The 15225-nt window shown below is 44.4% G+C and overlaps 1 protein-coding gene and 1 long non-coding RNA gene across 15 annotated transcripts in view, besides 1 other annotated feature; one reads left to right on the plus strand and one right to left on the minus strand.

The window, feature by feature from the left end:
• NT5DC3 (5'-nucleotidase domain containing 3) overlaps positions 1-15225 on the minus strand; it is a 94920-nt gene that overhangs the window by 53829 nt on the left and 25866 nt on the right. For 13 of the 14 annotated variants that reach the window (XR_001748758.2, XR_007063093.1, XR_007063092.1 and 10 more), the window contains exons 2-4: positions 14794-14978; positions 6712-6786; positions 6179-6234 (exon numbers count right to left, since the gene is read on the minus strand). Coding sequence is in view for 5 of the 14 variants with exons in the window: in NM_001031701.3 (NP_001026871.1) it covers positions 6179-6234; positions 6712-6786; positions 14794-14978 (316 nt within the window). In the remaining 9 variants the exon portion in view is untranslated. Of the gene's footprint in view, positions 1-1936; positions 5458-6178; positions 6235-6711; positions 6787-14793; positions 14979-15225 lie in introns of those variants that run through there. The other variant, XM_011538476.3, reaches the window with a different exon arrangement.
• Positions 2551-14881, plus strand: LOC124903000 (uncharacterized). The gene is made up of 2 exons (XR_007063429.1): positions 2551-2891; positions 14022-14881. It is a non-coding gene; the product is annotated as an uncharacterized LOC124903000 (long non-coding RNA).
• Positions 11094-11263: an enhancer, noted in NCBI's record as "experimental_23314 CRE fragment used in MPRA reporter constructs". NCBI's record gives its function as "activates a minimal promoter by MPRAs in K562 erythroleukemia cells, with activity observed for both the introgressed and non-introgressed 12:104205100 variant alleles {active_cell/tissue: K562}" and the evidence as "EXISTENCE:reporter gene assay evidence [ECO:0000049][PMID:34662402]".

Below are 15225 nucleotides of genomic sequence, written 5' to 3' on the forward strand. Positions count from 1 at the left end.
TATGTTTTGATATGTAACGTTAACAAAAAGATCACTTCAACCTCTTTCCTCCCGTCTCCATCACCCACATTACTTTAAAAAGTTATCTGAGTGGATTCATTAATATTTTGCCTCTCATCTTGATTAACCTGTTACAACTACTGGCCTTTGAAAAAACAGAAACACCGGACTCCCTTTATCTTTGCTCCAGAAATAAGATAAGACACTGGCACTAAGCCAGATCATTCGAGGCAGTGACCTTGGAAATCAGCCCTTGCTGAGTAGCAGCAGTCATGTGTCCACACTGCTAAGGCTCTAACACTGGAGAGAAAATATAAAAAGTCAAGTGATTCAGCCGGGTCAGAGTTATTTCCCTGCCCTTTGGAAGCCACTGCTGCCTCTAAGGCACAGGCACAGCCACCCAGGCTGCATCCACAAGAGCCAAGCAACCAAATGGCGGCTCAGAAGACGCAGTGAAATCTGCCAGCTGAATTCCCCAAGAAGCAGCTGCATCGAATGAAGAGCCAAACACAACTGCAGCAGGCATGGGCAGATTGCCCGGCCACATCTGAATGCAGCCTCAACCAGCGTTGAAATCGAAGTGGAAGCTCCTTTTCCCCAGCTCTGCATGAGAAACACGAGGTTAGGAGCACAGATCTGAATGAGTCTGCCAGGGCTTCCAATTCCCGCTCCCTTCATCACTAGGGATATTACCTTGATAAGTAATTTATCCCTTTTGGGTCTCAAAGTCTTCATTCTTAAAGCAGAGAACTATAAAAGTGCCTATTTCCTGATGTCACTGAGAAGATCACAGGAGCTACCACGTATAGAACAGTTGGTCTATGTAAGCACTATAGAGAGGCTTCACTAGTGTGGCTGTGAAAGGAACCACCCCAGCTTTTCACAAGGTTCCTAGTAAAAACTTAAACTATAGGTACAAAAATGAGGCTGCAGTACGGAACCCCCCTCCACTTCCCCAGCTGGCAGCACTCACTCCTGTGGGCCAAACATCATAAAATTCACCCTGGTGTAGGGACTGGGGACCTGCATCAGGGCTTAGAAACAAACTAGGCTGAGACACTTTGCTTAGAAACAAAGCGTCCCTTAGAAAGGGACACTTTCTTCCCACCTTCTCTCATTCATGGCCCCTTCTGGTGTGAAAGAGAAGAAAAGTGACATTTCTGCATGCCCAGGATCTTAATTAAACCACTAAGGTACAAGACTTCCTAATGACTTGCTTTGGGGTGGGCTTTTTTTTTTTTTTTTTTTTTTTTTTTTGAGACGGAGTCTTGCTCTGTCGCCCAGGCTGGAGTGCAGTGTCACGATCTCAGCTCACTGCAAGCTCCACCTCCCAGGTTCACGCCATTCTCCTGCCTCAGCCTCCCGAGTAGCTGGGACTACAGGCACCCACCACCACGCCCGGCTAATTTTTGCATTTTTAGGAGAGACGGGGTTTCACCATGTTAGCCAGGATGGTCTTGATCTCCTGACCTCGTGATCTACCTGCCTCAGCCTCCCAAAGTGCTGGGATTACAGGCACGAGCCACAGTGCCCAGACAGGCTGGCATTTTTTTTAAATGTATTTAACACATTAGGGCAGAGAAAGGCTGTTTTTGTCTCCATCAGACATCCTCCTGCCCTGTAATACTCTTCTCTGAGTGGTGCTAAGAATGGAAATGGCCACACGCAAGGCTCAGTGGACTAAACCCCGTGATGTGAGGCACGAAGCCCAGCAGCACCACCCTATATTCTGGGCCCTGTGCAGGTATGCTTCATCTTCACCAGCTGCCCCTTAGGCAGGCACTGGAATCATGCCTGCTTTACAGGAGGAAACCAAGGCTTTCAGAGGGTCCAGAGATTGCTCAAGACCACACACGTGTGAGCCATGGAGCTGGGGTTCGCACCCAGGAAGCGTGAGTGACTCGAGTCCACACACTCCCTCCAGAGTCCAGCTCACCTCAACACCCTTCTCAGCAGCGATGCAACAGTGAACTTCCCTACAGCCTCATTCTGAACGCTCCTTCTCCCTGAATGCCTCATACACTGTCCATACTCCTTGACACAATGGACAGTGTATATACAAGAAACAAGGCAATTCTTCTCCTGTGAACCCCAGGAGAAGAAAGAGGAGAAAGCATTTCAGGCTGAGAGGGTGAGCAGAGGACTCACCACAAGTTGGCCATGGAGGGTGGGTAGGATTTCAAGAAGCAGAGAGGAAGGAAAACTGCACGCTGGCAGAACACCAGCAGGAGCAAATGCCAGGTGGCAAGAAAGAAGATGTCAAGGGAAAAGAATCCCTGTGCTGTCTTTGCCTGCCCGGAATCCTGTCTCTCTTCATCATAATGGTTCAAGACCAAACACATGACTCAAGTCATTCTGATGAGATTCAGTCCTGAGACTCCAGTGGAATGTGGAGAAACAAAGCTCCTCTGTTCTTCTTGACCTGGAGCTGGGGGGATGTGGGCTTGGTAGTGCCAGGGGTCACCAAGGAGGGGCTTGCCTGAGAGTGAGCCAAGCCAGAGAGGAAGGCCAAGAGCTGGAAAGAGTTCTGACAATAGCAATTTGGCCCCTGGAGCCAGCCACACCTGCAAGCTCACTCTGTCTGTGGACTGTACCATTAGTTTCTGAGCCAGTTTGAGTTTCAGTCACTTTCAACCAAGAGTCTTGACCAATCTAGTAAGTCAAGGAGCTGTGTATGGAAGAAGAGGAAGCGAAGAGTTTAAAGCAGGTTGATAAAAATCTCAAACCTAAGCCTAAGCATATGGCTTAGCCTTTATTCTGTAGAGAGCAGGGAGCCATCCAGGCATTCAGAGGAGGGGATTATTGGGAGTAATGATTTAGGGAATCAGTCTGGCAAGAATGTCCAGGATGGAGTGCCCTGCAGCAAACCCCAAGAACCCAGGAGAGAAGGGGTAAGTGTCTATGGAGGGGGCCAACAGCAGAAACAGAGATGGAGAGACAGAATAGAGAGACCTGGTGAGGATTCTCATAAACATGCATAACCTTGCCTTCTTCGTTCTCTCCCCCACCCTCACCACTGCAACAATAATTCTGGGAAAACATTAGGAGCTATGAGTAGGGGAACAAATGAATGCTCATTTAAGAGGTTTAGAGAAAGAAAAACTAAAAATTGTAATATGTTAAATGTAGCAACAACTTTAAAATATAAGTTAAAAGTAAGTCTGTTGGGAATGGTACAATCTGGAGGTAAACTGAGCCATTTCAAAAGCCTTAAAATGAATGAACAACATTCACCTGGCAATTTCACTTATCCTAAGAAAATGAGACATGTGCACAAAAATGTATTAATTATATTTAATATACATGTTACTTACAAAATACATGAAAAGTTTTTTGTTTTAACTTTTAGGTTCAGGGGTACATGTGCAGGTTTGTTATATAGGTAAATTCATGTCATGGGGGTTTGTTGTAGATATTTCATTACCCATGTACTAAGCCCTAGTACCCTATCCATTAGTTATTTTTCCTGATCCTCTCCCTTCTCCCACCCTCCACCCTCCAGTAGATCCCAGAGTCTATTGTTCACCTCTATATGTCCATGAGTCCCCATCATTTAGCTTCCACTTGTGAGAACATGCAGTATTTGGCTTCCTGTTCCTGCGTTAGCTTGCTAAGGATAATGGCCTCCAGCTCCATCCATGTTTCACAGCAAGATGTGATCTTGCTGGAAAGATTATTTGTAATTGTCCATACTAAAATAGATTCATTCATTACCACCCCCCCCCCAAAAAAATGTGTTGAGGGACTCCAACTATCCCTTGTACCTTAAGAAAGGCCACACAGCATGGTGGCCAAGAGCACAGACTCTGGACCCAGGCTGCCTGGGTCTGAATTCTAGCCCAGGCAATTATTTGCTGTGTGACCTTGGGCAAGTTACTTAACACCTCTGGCACTAATAATAGTACCTACTTCATATAGTTATTTTGAGGATTGAATGAGTTAAACAAAACCCTTATAACAGTGCCTGTCCCATAGCAAGACTCAATATTTGCTAGTCGCTATTAGTAATATTATTACCATCATCACCACCACCTCCTCTCCATCCTGAAACACTATTAAAGTGACAGTAAAAACAGTCAAAGGAAATGAGAGCAAAGACATCAATAGACAAGACATTTCCACAAGACACTGGAAGACAAACACTGGATGCAAAGAAGGTATCTTGACTTAACACTGATAACAGAGGCCTGCAAGGGGTATACCCATGACAAGAACTGATTCCCCACCACAAGCTGCAGAAAGGCTCAGCACAAGGAGGCACCAGGAGGCTACTGGAGGATATACTCAAGCAAAGTGAGGGAGTAAAGCCAGAGAGAGGAAGAGAAGGGAATTTGAAACAGGGAAAGTAGCAAAGGGAAGTCCCAAGACAAGCAACCAAACCAGATCAGACCAGGAGGGGAGAGTCAATTTTTTTTTTAAAAAGTGACAAATTATTGAAAACATTTGAATTATTGGAAAATAAATACATGCCTAACATTTGTAATGGACTATTTGGAAAAAATCAGAGATACCTACACAGAAAACTAGGCAAACAAAAACTGAGATTATTGTTAAAATCTAAGAAAAACAAAATATTGTACAAGAAAGAAAATAATCGCACGGCACTACCTGGCTTAAGAGTGACCCAGCTGGATGCAGTGGCTCACGCCTATAATCCCAGCACTTTGGGAGACTGAGGCGGGCAGATCACCTGAAATCAGGAGTTCAAGACCAGCCTGGCCAACATGGTGAAACCCTGTCTCTTTTAAAAATACAAAACTAGCCGGGCGTGGCGGCACATGCCTGTAATCCCAGCTCTTTGGGAGGCTAAAGCAGGAGAATCACTTGAACCTGGGAGGCAGAGGTTGCAGTGAGCCGAGATCTCGCCACTGCACTCCAGCCTGGGCAACAAGAGGGAGACTCCATCTCAATAACAAAAAAAAAAAAAAAGAGTGAACCAGGCAAGACCTTCTGAGTCATAATGTAAACAGTGACCAGTACAACCACCAAAAACTGAGATCTGAATGAGATGAGAGGAATGAGACTGGAGAAGTGGGAGGAGGTGCCAGAAAGCTAAGTCCTTATCTACCACAGCAGGGACAATATCCAGAATTAATAAATTAGGAAATAGAAGAATGAGCACATTACTTAAAAAATCTAAAGACTTTAAAGGTTTTAGGGGCAGAGGGGAGCACAGAAGATTACTGCTGACCCCTGTGACATCTTTAATCCTGTTTGACTGTGTGACTCTATCCATGTTTCACTTTGATTTTAAAAATAAACAAGCATTAATTTTAACAAAGTTTGTGAGAGAAGAATGTAAGCTAAGACATACTTTTAAGTATAAGCTGTGCACCTAAATACAAATCACACTCCTAAATCCCCTCCCAAATTGGAGAATAAAAAAAGGCCAAGTTCTCCATTTTAAAAGTTACAAAGACGCCCGGGCGTGGTGACTCATGCCTGTAATCCCAGCACTTTGGAAGCCTGAGGCAGGCAGATCACTTGAGGTCAGGAGTTCAAGACCAGCCTGGCTAATATGGTGAAACCCTGTCTCTACTAAAAATATAAAAATTAGCCAGGCATGGTGGCATGTGCCTGTAGTCCCAGCTAATCGGGAGGCTGAGGCAGGAGAATCACTTGAATCTGGGAGGCAGAGGCTGCAGTGAGCCTAGATTGTGCCATTGCACTGCAGCCTGGGCATCACAGCGAGACTCCACCTCAAAAAAAAAAAAAAAAAAAAAAAAAGTCTCAATATCCAAACCACCCAAATACCATGGTGGGAAGGAGAACCCTATACCCTCACCCCCATAGCCCTCCTGCTCCAAGTCTCCTCATCAGGACCCTCCCTCAGCTTGCCAGCCAGCATCTCTGGAAAACCAGTCCTTCCTCCAGTCCTCCAGACTGCTCCCGACCTCTGAGCACATTTCTATCATCACCTCTGTCACTCTGAACTGCAGTCAAGTTTACTTACATGACTTCCCACCCACACTCTGAGCTCCTTGAGGACATCAAGGCACACCAAGCCCTTAGCACCTGGCATGGTAGCAGGCCTCAACAAATGCTCTTGAGTAAGTGAGTGAATGAATGAATCATATTCACACTGCAGCCCTCTTCATCATTAAACAGTCAGAGGGTCCTGAAACCCAAAGCACCTGGTTACTTCACGTAAATTAAATGTATCTCCTCTTACTCTTACCTGTAGACAGTTCCCAGCTGGATATAATGAAAAGCATCGATCTTCATTAATACTGCCTTTAAAAACATAAACATATGCACATGTAAATAATGTATGACTATTTGCATATTACATGAGCCATCCAGGTGTCATCATATATCCTATCAACATTAGGCTGCCCTAACAAGGAAGCACACTGTATATTCCTGAAAGGGTTGCTTGTTAATTAATGTGCTGTACAGCTCTTTAAAGAAATGGCCTATCTGCAAAAGACAGGGGAAAAAAATAGATATGGCAACTGGTTCCTCCTCCAAACACCAAAATGACTACTAGAAATAAACAGTACCTCCTAAATAGCTAAATGCATTTATGCTTTTCTAATACATAGTCTCTTCCAGAAGATTCTATCCAAATATATGTGAATAAATTTGGTTCTGCAGTCCCAAATAACATAATTTAAAACTAATTTGCCCGTTCAGTAAAGAAAAGTACCAACAGTACATTTCATTTCCAAACATCATTAAACCATAGAAAAACAGGAGAAGTAAACCTACCCGCTGTACATCATAATGAAGTCCACGAATTGCAAAATTTGGGTCATACTCATACTTCCTGATTTCTGCTGGATACTAAGAAAGAAGAAAGGAACTGGTTTTAGCCAACAATGTGCCAAGTGCAGGATCCTGTCCAGATCTGGCCCTTGTACAAAGGCTGAGGTAGTTGATACACCAGTGGGAGGTTGGGGTCAGAAGGGGCAGACCACAGCTTGTCCCTCTGCTTCCAATCCAAGCGCCTCCTAGCAAGCACGCTGGCCAGAGCCTTCCATCCTGCCCTGTACCCTGTCCATCTGCCCAAGCACAGGCTGGGCCTCATTCTCTCCCCTGCCAACTTCTCTCAACTCTCTCCTCTCTTTCCCTCCCCTACCTGTGTCCCTAGACTCCCAGATCCCTAAGACCCCAGGAACACATCGGCTTCAATCTCCACCCATCACTCCCTCCTTTTATCTTCAAGGCTGCTGCAGATAAAAGGAATGTTCCCCCTAATACTGGAAGCACAGCTTTACCCAAACTCATTGTCAACCATCCATTCAACTCATATGTGAGCACCTTGATGTGGCAGGCCCCTGGACGGCCCCATTACCAGGTTTCACGGAGAGCCTTAAGGTGAAAACTTCTCAGAGTGGAGCCTCTCCATAGAGCTTTCATTGCTTCTCTCATCTGGATAGCTGGCCACTGCCCACCCTCCAGCTGGGCAACCCCACGGCTGTCAGACACAGCATTCCCCACACTAGGCCTAGGGAGGCCCTTCCTTGGCACATGGATTACGGTTACTATCCAGCACTCTGTCTCAGAACAGTTGTGAAGGCAGCAGATATGGTTTGGCTCTATGTCCCCAGCCAAGTCTCATCTTGAATTGTAGTTCCCATAATTCCCACGTGTTGTGGGAGGAACCTGGTGGGAGACAACTGAATGATGGGGGCGGCTTCCCCCATACTCACGAGATCTGATGGTTTTATATTCACTTGGTTCTCATTCTCTCTCTTGCCTGCTGCCAATGTAAGATGTGCCTTTCACCTTCTGTCATGATTGTGAGGGCTCCCCAGACACATGGAACTGTGAGTCCATTAAACCTCTTTTTCTCTATAAATTACCCGGCCTTGGGTATGTCTTTATCAGCAGCATGAAAACGAAACTAATACAGCAGCCCAGTTCCCCGGGTATTTCCTATTATCAAGCCATTCCTCACACTATGCAAAATTGCTGGCTCCTCCTTATCTACTGCACCAGGTATCCAAGTCCTTACTTCTCTCCCTAAATCTCAGAATTAGGACACAAGCTACCCTGTGGATGGCACTGATCTGTGGGCACCATTTCTGCTGCTACTACACGGCAGGCCCTACCATCCCCATTTTATTCAGAGGGACATCAGAGGTTCTGAATGAAACAAACTAGGGTATGGTGGGCAGAGAATCAGGCTGGGGCCTTCTCCCCTGCTCTCCCCACTGCCCCTCTGCCCTCGGAGCATAGACCTGCAGGACAGAACATCTATTCCTGAGTCTAGAGAGGCAACATCACTAGGACCTTCCAACTGTGATGCAAGTTGCTTAAGTTAAAACCCAGACAACTATTAAGTGCCCAGGAAACCTCCTTCCATGGCTGAGCGGCTAATATTTCATAGCCAGGGTTCCATTTGTACAAAAACATTTCCTGGGACCAGCAGGCTGACCCGCATGTGGCAATTTTTCAAGTCAAGCTGCACAAAGCACTAACTCAAATGTCACATTTGGGATCATTTATCCACTACCTGCCATGTGTGCCAAGAAATCACCAAACTGACATTTCCATTCATGGGCGTTTCCAAGAATTGAGAACCCTGTGTATGGTCCTGCATTTTTGCAGACATAATTGACAAGCTGACACAGAACCCAACGCTTGGCACCCTGGATCTGCTTACTGAAGAGGGGCCAAGGGACTTCAGCAGCTCTGCAATCTCCTGTTAAACTCATGACTGATGGATAATAAGAGGGCAGACAGAAGAGAAATATTTTAATATGTCACTGAGAGCGGTGCCTTCACTGAGCATATGCTATGTGCCACACACTAGACACTTTCCATGACTTTCTTTATCTTTATCCCTCACTACATCAGCATGAAGGAAGCAGGCATCTCAAGCCTATTTTACTATTGAATAATCTGAAGATCAGGGGCAAGGAATTTGCCCAAGGTCACACAGCTAGATAGTGGTTGAGCCAGTATTTGAACCCAGGTCTGTGTCACACCCAAGTCCACCCCTAACCACCACATAATCAATTCTGAACCAACTCTGAGCCACTATATACTGGACACTCATCGCCTCCCTGTGACAGCAGCACCTGCCACCTCAGAGGGGTTCAACAAGTTTGCTGAAAGCATTTGCAGTTACGAGTGGAGCACCAACTATTTTAGTTGATTGCTGGCACTTAAATAAGAGAGTGTTTACTGCTGAAAAGTCTGGTGGTTCTTTCTTTGAATGAGGCTTATCTGGGCTCCCCAGCAGGACATGCCCTCCACACACTCACATTCCGCTTGCCTCTCACTCTCAATGTTATTCTTGGGGAGCCACTCCTGAGAAATACACAATGTTTATCTGGTCCAAAGACCACAGTGAGTGACTATATGAGTCCGTTCTCACGCTGCTGATAAACACATACCTGAAACTGGGTAATTTATAAAGGAAAGAGGTTTAATGGACTCAGTGTTCCACATGGCTGGGGAGACCTCACAATCATGGAGGAAAGTCACATCTTACATGGCAGCAGGCAAGAGAGCTTGTGCAGGAGAACTCGGCTTTATAACACCATTAGATTTCTTGGGACTTATTCACTATTGTGAGAACAGCACAGGAAAAACCCACCCCCATGATTCAATTGCCTCCCACCAGGTCCCTCCCATGACACGTGGGGATTATGGGAGCTACAATTCAAGATGAGATTTGGGTGGGGACACAGCCAAACCATATCAATGATCTTGAAAACTGACAGACGCAGCTGGAAAAGCGCCAACAGGACGATGTCATAATGAAGAATACAGGTTCCGGGGCTGAGAGACCAGGCATCAAATCCTGGTCCTGCTATGTGCTAGCTGGGTGACCCTGGGCAAGGTCGTCTGTCCCTCTAAGCCTTGGTTTTCTCATCTACAAAGAAAAGATAACAAGAATCCTATCCTTTTGGAATTGCAAAGGATTCAGCCCAAAAATGCGTGTGGCAAGTCAGGGCAGTGCCTGGCACATGGGAAGTGCTCAATAAAATTGAGTGGCTTCGCTGGATTGAGAACTGGCGGCCTGGGGTTTTAGGTCCACCCTACTAGCCCCTGCTACTCTCCTGTATGACTTTAGGTAAGTCTTCTCCAAGGCCTCTTCTAGTCGAACCATTTTGACTAGGGTGATTTCTGTGCTCTACTCCTGCCCCTAAATTGTAATCTCCCCATACAACCAGCCTAGTCAAAAACATCCTCGTGATTGGCCCATTTCCAACACACACACACACAGCATCAGTAGAACACCTGTTAACAGTGACATCCAGCCCAAGAACCAGAGCTGCTCACAGCAGCCAGTTGGTTACAGTCCTCTCCAACGGTCTCAGCTAGATTTTCAGGACTTTTCGTAGTTTAGAAACTTTTCACCACCCAAGGGGGAAAAAATAAAAAGACTCACCCAAGGTGAAGTATTATGGAGATAACTGGTATCCCTAAAAGCAGTCAGAAATATAAAAGATAAAGCCCTTGACTTAGGGTTTTTATTAAAATTCTAATTTAGGCCCAGTCTGGTTTCCTTTAGTACCTTGACTTTGTTCTAATCCCAGTTAAAATCTGGGCAAATTCCTGTGTGCTGATAAAGAGCAAAGTGTCCCCCTGAAAATGCTACAGAAACGTCCCTATAGCTTCAAGCAAAGTTAATACCAAAATGCAGCAGCGAACCCAGGACTTCTCCATGTGTGCCTATTTCCTACAGTCCTGGGTAATTACAGGTCTCAGATACAGCTAGTAACCTCTACGTTACAACACTGCTGTGGGTTCCTGAGGTCCAGAGGCCTATAAACATACCTGCTTTCCAGAGGTCTCAGTTTAATATTTAAAGTAGCCTAAATTACGCATCTAATTAGAGGCAACGCAGAAGGGAACAAAAACTAAGCTCTCTGAAATCCACACAAAACACTATGCTAGAGTAAAATGACCTCATCAGGACGCTGGCCCCACATGAAGCACAACTCTCTCCCTTACCTGCAGAACTCACGGATGCAGATGTCAAATGTTTACTGAGTACCTACTTTGTGCCAGGGCCTGGGAATACAGCAATGAACAGAACTGACAAAAGTGTCTGCCCCTGCAAAGTTCCCATTCTACCTGGGGGGGTAGACCATACACAAATACACACACAGAATATAACGCCTTGGAGTGTATGTTCTAAAAGAAAATGCAATACAAGCATTCACAAATCTGCGGGTGGGCGGGGGCGGGGAAGCAAGCCGGGAGCAAGCCTCATCTGGGGGAAGAAAGAGTGCTCCAAGGCAGAAGTAGGAAAGGGTTTGGAGGTTCAAGGAGCAGGAGGGGAGGAGAGGAGACGGCTGGAGGAGGCTGGGGAGGCCCTCACTATGATGGGATGAAAACCACACTTCACCTCGTGGTCTTCCTCCCCCAAACCCATAACCCAGGCTAATCATAAGGAAAACGCACATAGCACCTAACTGGCATGCTTCGAAACTGTCAGGGTCATTTAAAAAAGCAAGGAAAGTCAGAGAAGCTGTCAAAGCCAAGAGGCGCCTGAGAGACATGACAACTAACTGCAATGTGGTGTCCTGCAGGGGATCCTGGAGCAGGAAATGGACATTCGATAAAAACCAAAAATATGTGAAGGAAGTATGGACTTCAGTGAATAATAATGTATCAAGATTGGTTCTTTAGTTGTAACAAATGTACCTTAGTCAAGTGTTAACACTGGAGGAAACTGGGCATTGGGTGTATACATACAGGAACTCAGTATTTGCAACCTTTCCGTAAGCCTAAAACTATCCTAAAAGTTTATTTAAAGGAAAAAGAGAGCATAGCATTTGCTGAGAGATCAGACATGGACACGGAGTGCGAGCGGTCACAGCCAATGCTTTGGATATGAACAATCAGGTGATCAATGGTGCCAACTAAAGAGAAGAAATGCTGACTAAGGTGTGAAGCTGGGAGATGAAATCAAGAGCTCTCTACCCCTCCCTTTCTATTCCTCGGTGGACAAATAAAATCAAAATATAGACAGTTATTACTCAATTTTTAAAAAAATTTCCATTTTTGTAAAAATTGCTTATTTTTTAAAAAGGGTAATTACGAAGGAGCTGGAAGCTTTTATGTTTGCTTTTTGGAGAGATACTAAATTGCAAATTTACTGTTCTATGACTGTGCGTCTCAAAAGCGATGTCTTTCCATTTCTACAACTACACAAAGTGCATCGGTCTTGGCTGCAAAAATGGCCCTGAACTCAGTGCATCTTCGAAGAATTATTTTGTTTAATCAGAAGAGAAAAATTTGCGTAAGCATAACTGACTCTACTAATATGCCTGATATAATTAGTATTATAACTATAGTTTTATCAAAGCAACAAACAGACATAATGAGAATGAAATTTCAATGATCTTAAATCTAGAGGCTTTTCAAATAATAGTGATTGCAGCTTTTATTTTATCCATCTATTTCATCTCTCTTCCCCTCAAATTTCATAAACTTTTTATGTTCACAAATTTTTTATTTTCATGAATATTTTATTTGCATCTGAACAAAAAAAACCATAGGATGGAAAGGTGTTAGTAACCCCATAAGAGATGCAACATGGAGTCGAGGAGAGAATAGAGTCCTTTGGAAACAGACAGACTTGAGTTCAAATCCTGGTTCTGTCTCCTACTGGCCTGTGGCCTTGATCTAGTAGCTTAATTTTTTGAACCTCAGTTTCCTCAGCTGTAAACAGAGACAACATGTGTGTGCAGGGTTGTTGTACAGATTAGAAACAATAGTATTAGTATTAATAAATAGCTAACCTTTATTGAGTGTTTTCTATGTGCCATCTACTTTACATTTACTAATTCATTTACCACAGTGACTGTGAGGAAAGCACTGTTACTACGCCCATTTTACAGGGGAGAAAACTGAGGTCCAGAGGAATTGAGTGAGTCAATCAAGATTATGTAGGAACTAAGTGATAAAGGCAGAATTTGAACCCCAGCAGTGAGGCCTTAGAACCTGTGCTTTCAGCACCTAGTGGACAATCAATGAACACTGCCACTGGGATCATGGCTTGCTTTTTATAAATGACATCAAAGTCACAGAAAACACTGCAGCTGACCTGGAACTGAAATGCCAGCACCAATATAACACCCCTTTGGATCCACCTTTTAGGGGGTAGTGAACAGATGGCATGGGGTGGCAGGCAGGAACCAAGGTCAGAACCACCTCGTTCTTAGTTGGCTTTCATCTCATGATCCAGGCAAAGGACCGCAGTTTAGATGGAAGAGAGTAGTCCCTTGAACAAACGAGACCTGCTGCTGGATGCCAAGTGGCTAGGTGGTTTTACATCTAGTAAAGTGGCCATAACTAAAGAAAGCAGGCTGCTGGCATAGTGGCAGAAGGGAAGCTTCTTTTTGGCAAATGCCATGACTGCATTTTGGATATGGACAAAATGAGCTGCTTAAATCCACAGATAACTAAGAGCTGAGGGGGATCAGAAAATATGCTGAATCTAATGGTTAGGATCCAAAACTAAGGAGAACTTTGGCTGCATTAATAAAAGTACGGCATCCAGAACCAGGGAGGTGATGGTCTCCTTCTATTCCACTCTAGCCAGACCCCACCTGGGGTAACATCTTCAAGGCCTCACATTTGAGAGAAACAAACCAGAGCACACACAAAGGAAGATGACTAGGACGATGAAAAGAAAAGAGGACAAATGAGAACAGTTAAAAGAGCTAAGAACAATCAACTTGGGAAAAGTCTTAGAGGGCGTAATGGCTGGTCTATACAACACTAGCCCATTATATGTCTGGTACTCGAATGGTTAAATATAAAATAGTAGTTTGCATAATTTGGGTTTAGAAGTTACTCATACCCACCCTCAGCCCTCCTTTGCTGCCAACTCCTTCAAGATTTGGCTGAAATATCACCTTCTTCTTTGCTTCCCCAATTCCCTAAGGCAGAGAAAGTTGTTCTAACCATCACAGTCAGACACACTCAATGTCTAAGGAGACCTCCACTAGGAGGCTGCATAACTGATCTACCCACGTGACCGACGACCCCACTGGGCTGTTGGTTCTCCACGGGCAATGCCTGTCTCCTACTCATCTTTATCTTCCCAGCTTGTATTGCAGGGCTTGGCACAAGGAGGCTTAAGAAACATGTGAAGCAATAAATCAAGGAAGAAAAGAGGTCAATGGTAACAGCTGTATGAAGGCAAAATTGTTCAACCCATGGAAGAACTTCCCAAAAATCAGAACCACCTCCTATGTCAACATGCACCTGTCTGAGATGGAGAGCTGAGCTGTACTTCCCGGGAGGGGTCTCAAAGGGTACGGGCCCACAAGACTTCTGAGGACACTTCTTTTCCTGCTTCCTGAAATGTGTACTCAAATCAGACTACAGAAAAAAATGATAGGGTTGCATATTTTCTTTTTTTCCTTCCTCATTAAAAACTCTCAACAATACTACGTATCAGAAGAAAGACATTCAAATATGCTGTACTCAGCAATTCAAATTGGTGTTGAAGGTAAAACATCTCCTATCATTTGAGGAATTCCTCCTAACCAGAATTCAACAGGCAGGCTGCCAATTCATCAAGCTCCAGGAGACACCGTGTCATTCTGTGAAAGACGAGAGTGTAAATATCTACAGCCAAATCTCCACTAATGCACATCTTGGGAAGGTCTTTTGCCAAAAGACATCTAAAGACTTTTTTTAAAAAAACTATCATCTTCCAGATAAGAGTTACTTGGAAGGGAACAAAATCTACTTATTCATTTAGCAACAATTTATTAAATGACTTCTCTGTGGCAGACTTGGGGTCATGTCAGCTCAAGGCTGTTCTAAGAGGAAAAGGGGAGGGAGAAGCCTGAAATGTCCCTGTGATCTTACCCGGTGTTCATTGATGAGAAGGTCCCGTGCAGCATTAAATATCAGCGTGTGGAGGTGCTTTGAATAAAACACCAAGGTGTAATCATAATCGAAGCCATAGATTTCAATGTCTGACAGGCTCATTTCATTGTTTGAGAAAATGGCATCTGGATTCAACAAGTTGCTCATAATGGAAGGAACCAATTCTGGAAATAAAGAAAAAAAATACATTATACTACATAATAAATAAGGGTTAGTATGATTCCTAAAGAAAAAAAATGAGTAAACTAGACTATAAAAGAGATTTGCTTCACCTTGAAAATATGCTGGTGAAGGAAGCCAGCCACAAAAGACCACACGTTGCATGATCCTATTCATATGAAATGTCCAGAAATGACAAATCCATAGGCACAGAAAGGAGATTCATGGTTGCCTAGGACCGCTCACTGCTAA

This window comes from Homo sapiens, chromosome 12 (assembly GCF_000001405.40).
Source record: "Homo sapiens chromosome 12, GRCh38.p14 Primary Assembly".
Classification (NCBI taxonomy): Eukaryota; Metazoa; Chordata; class Mammalia; order Primates; family Hominidae; genus Homo; species Homo sapiens.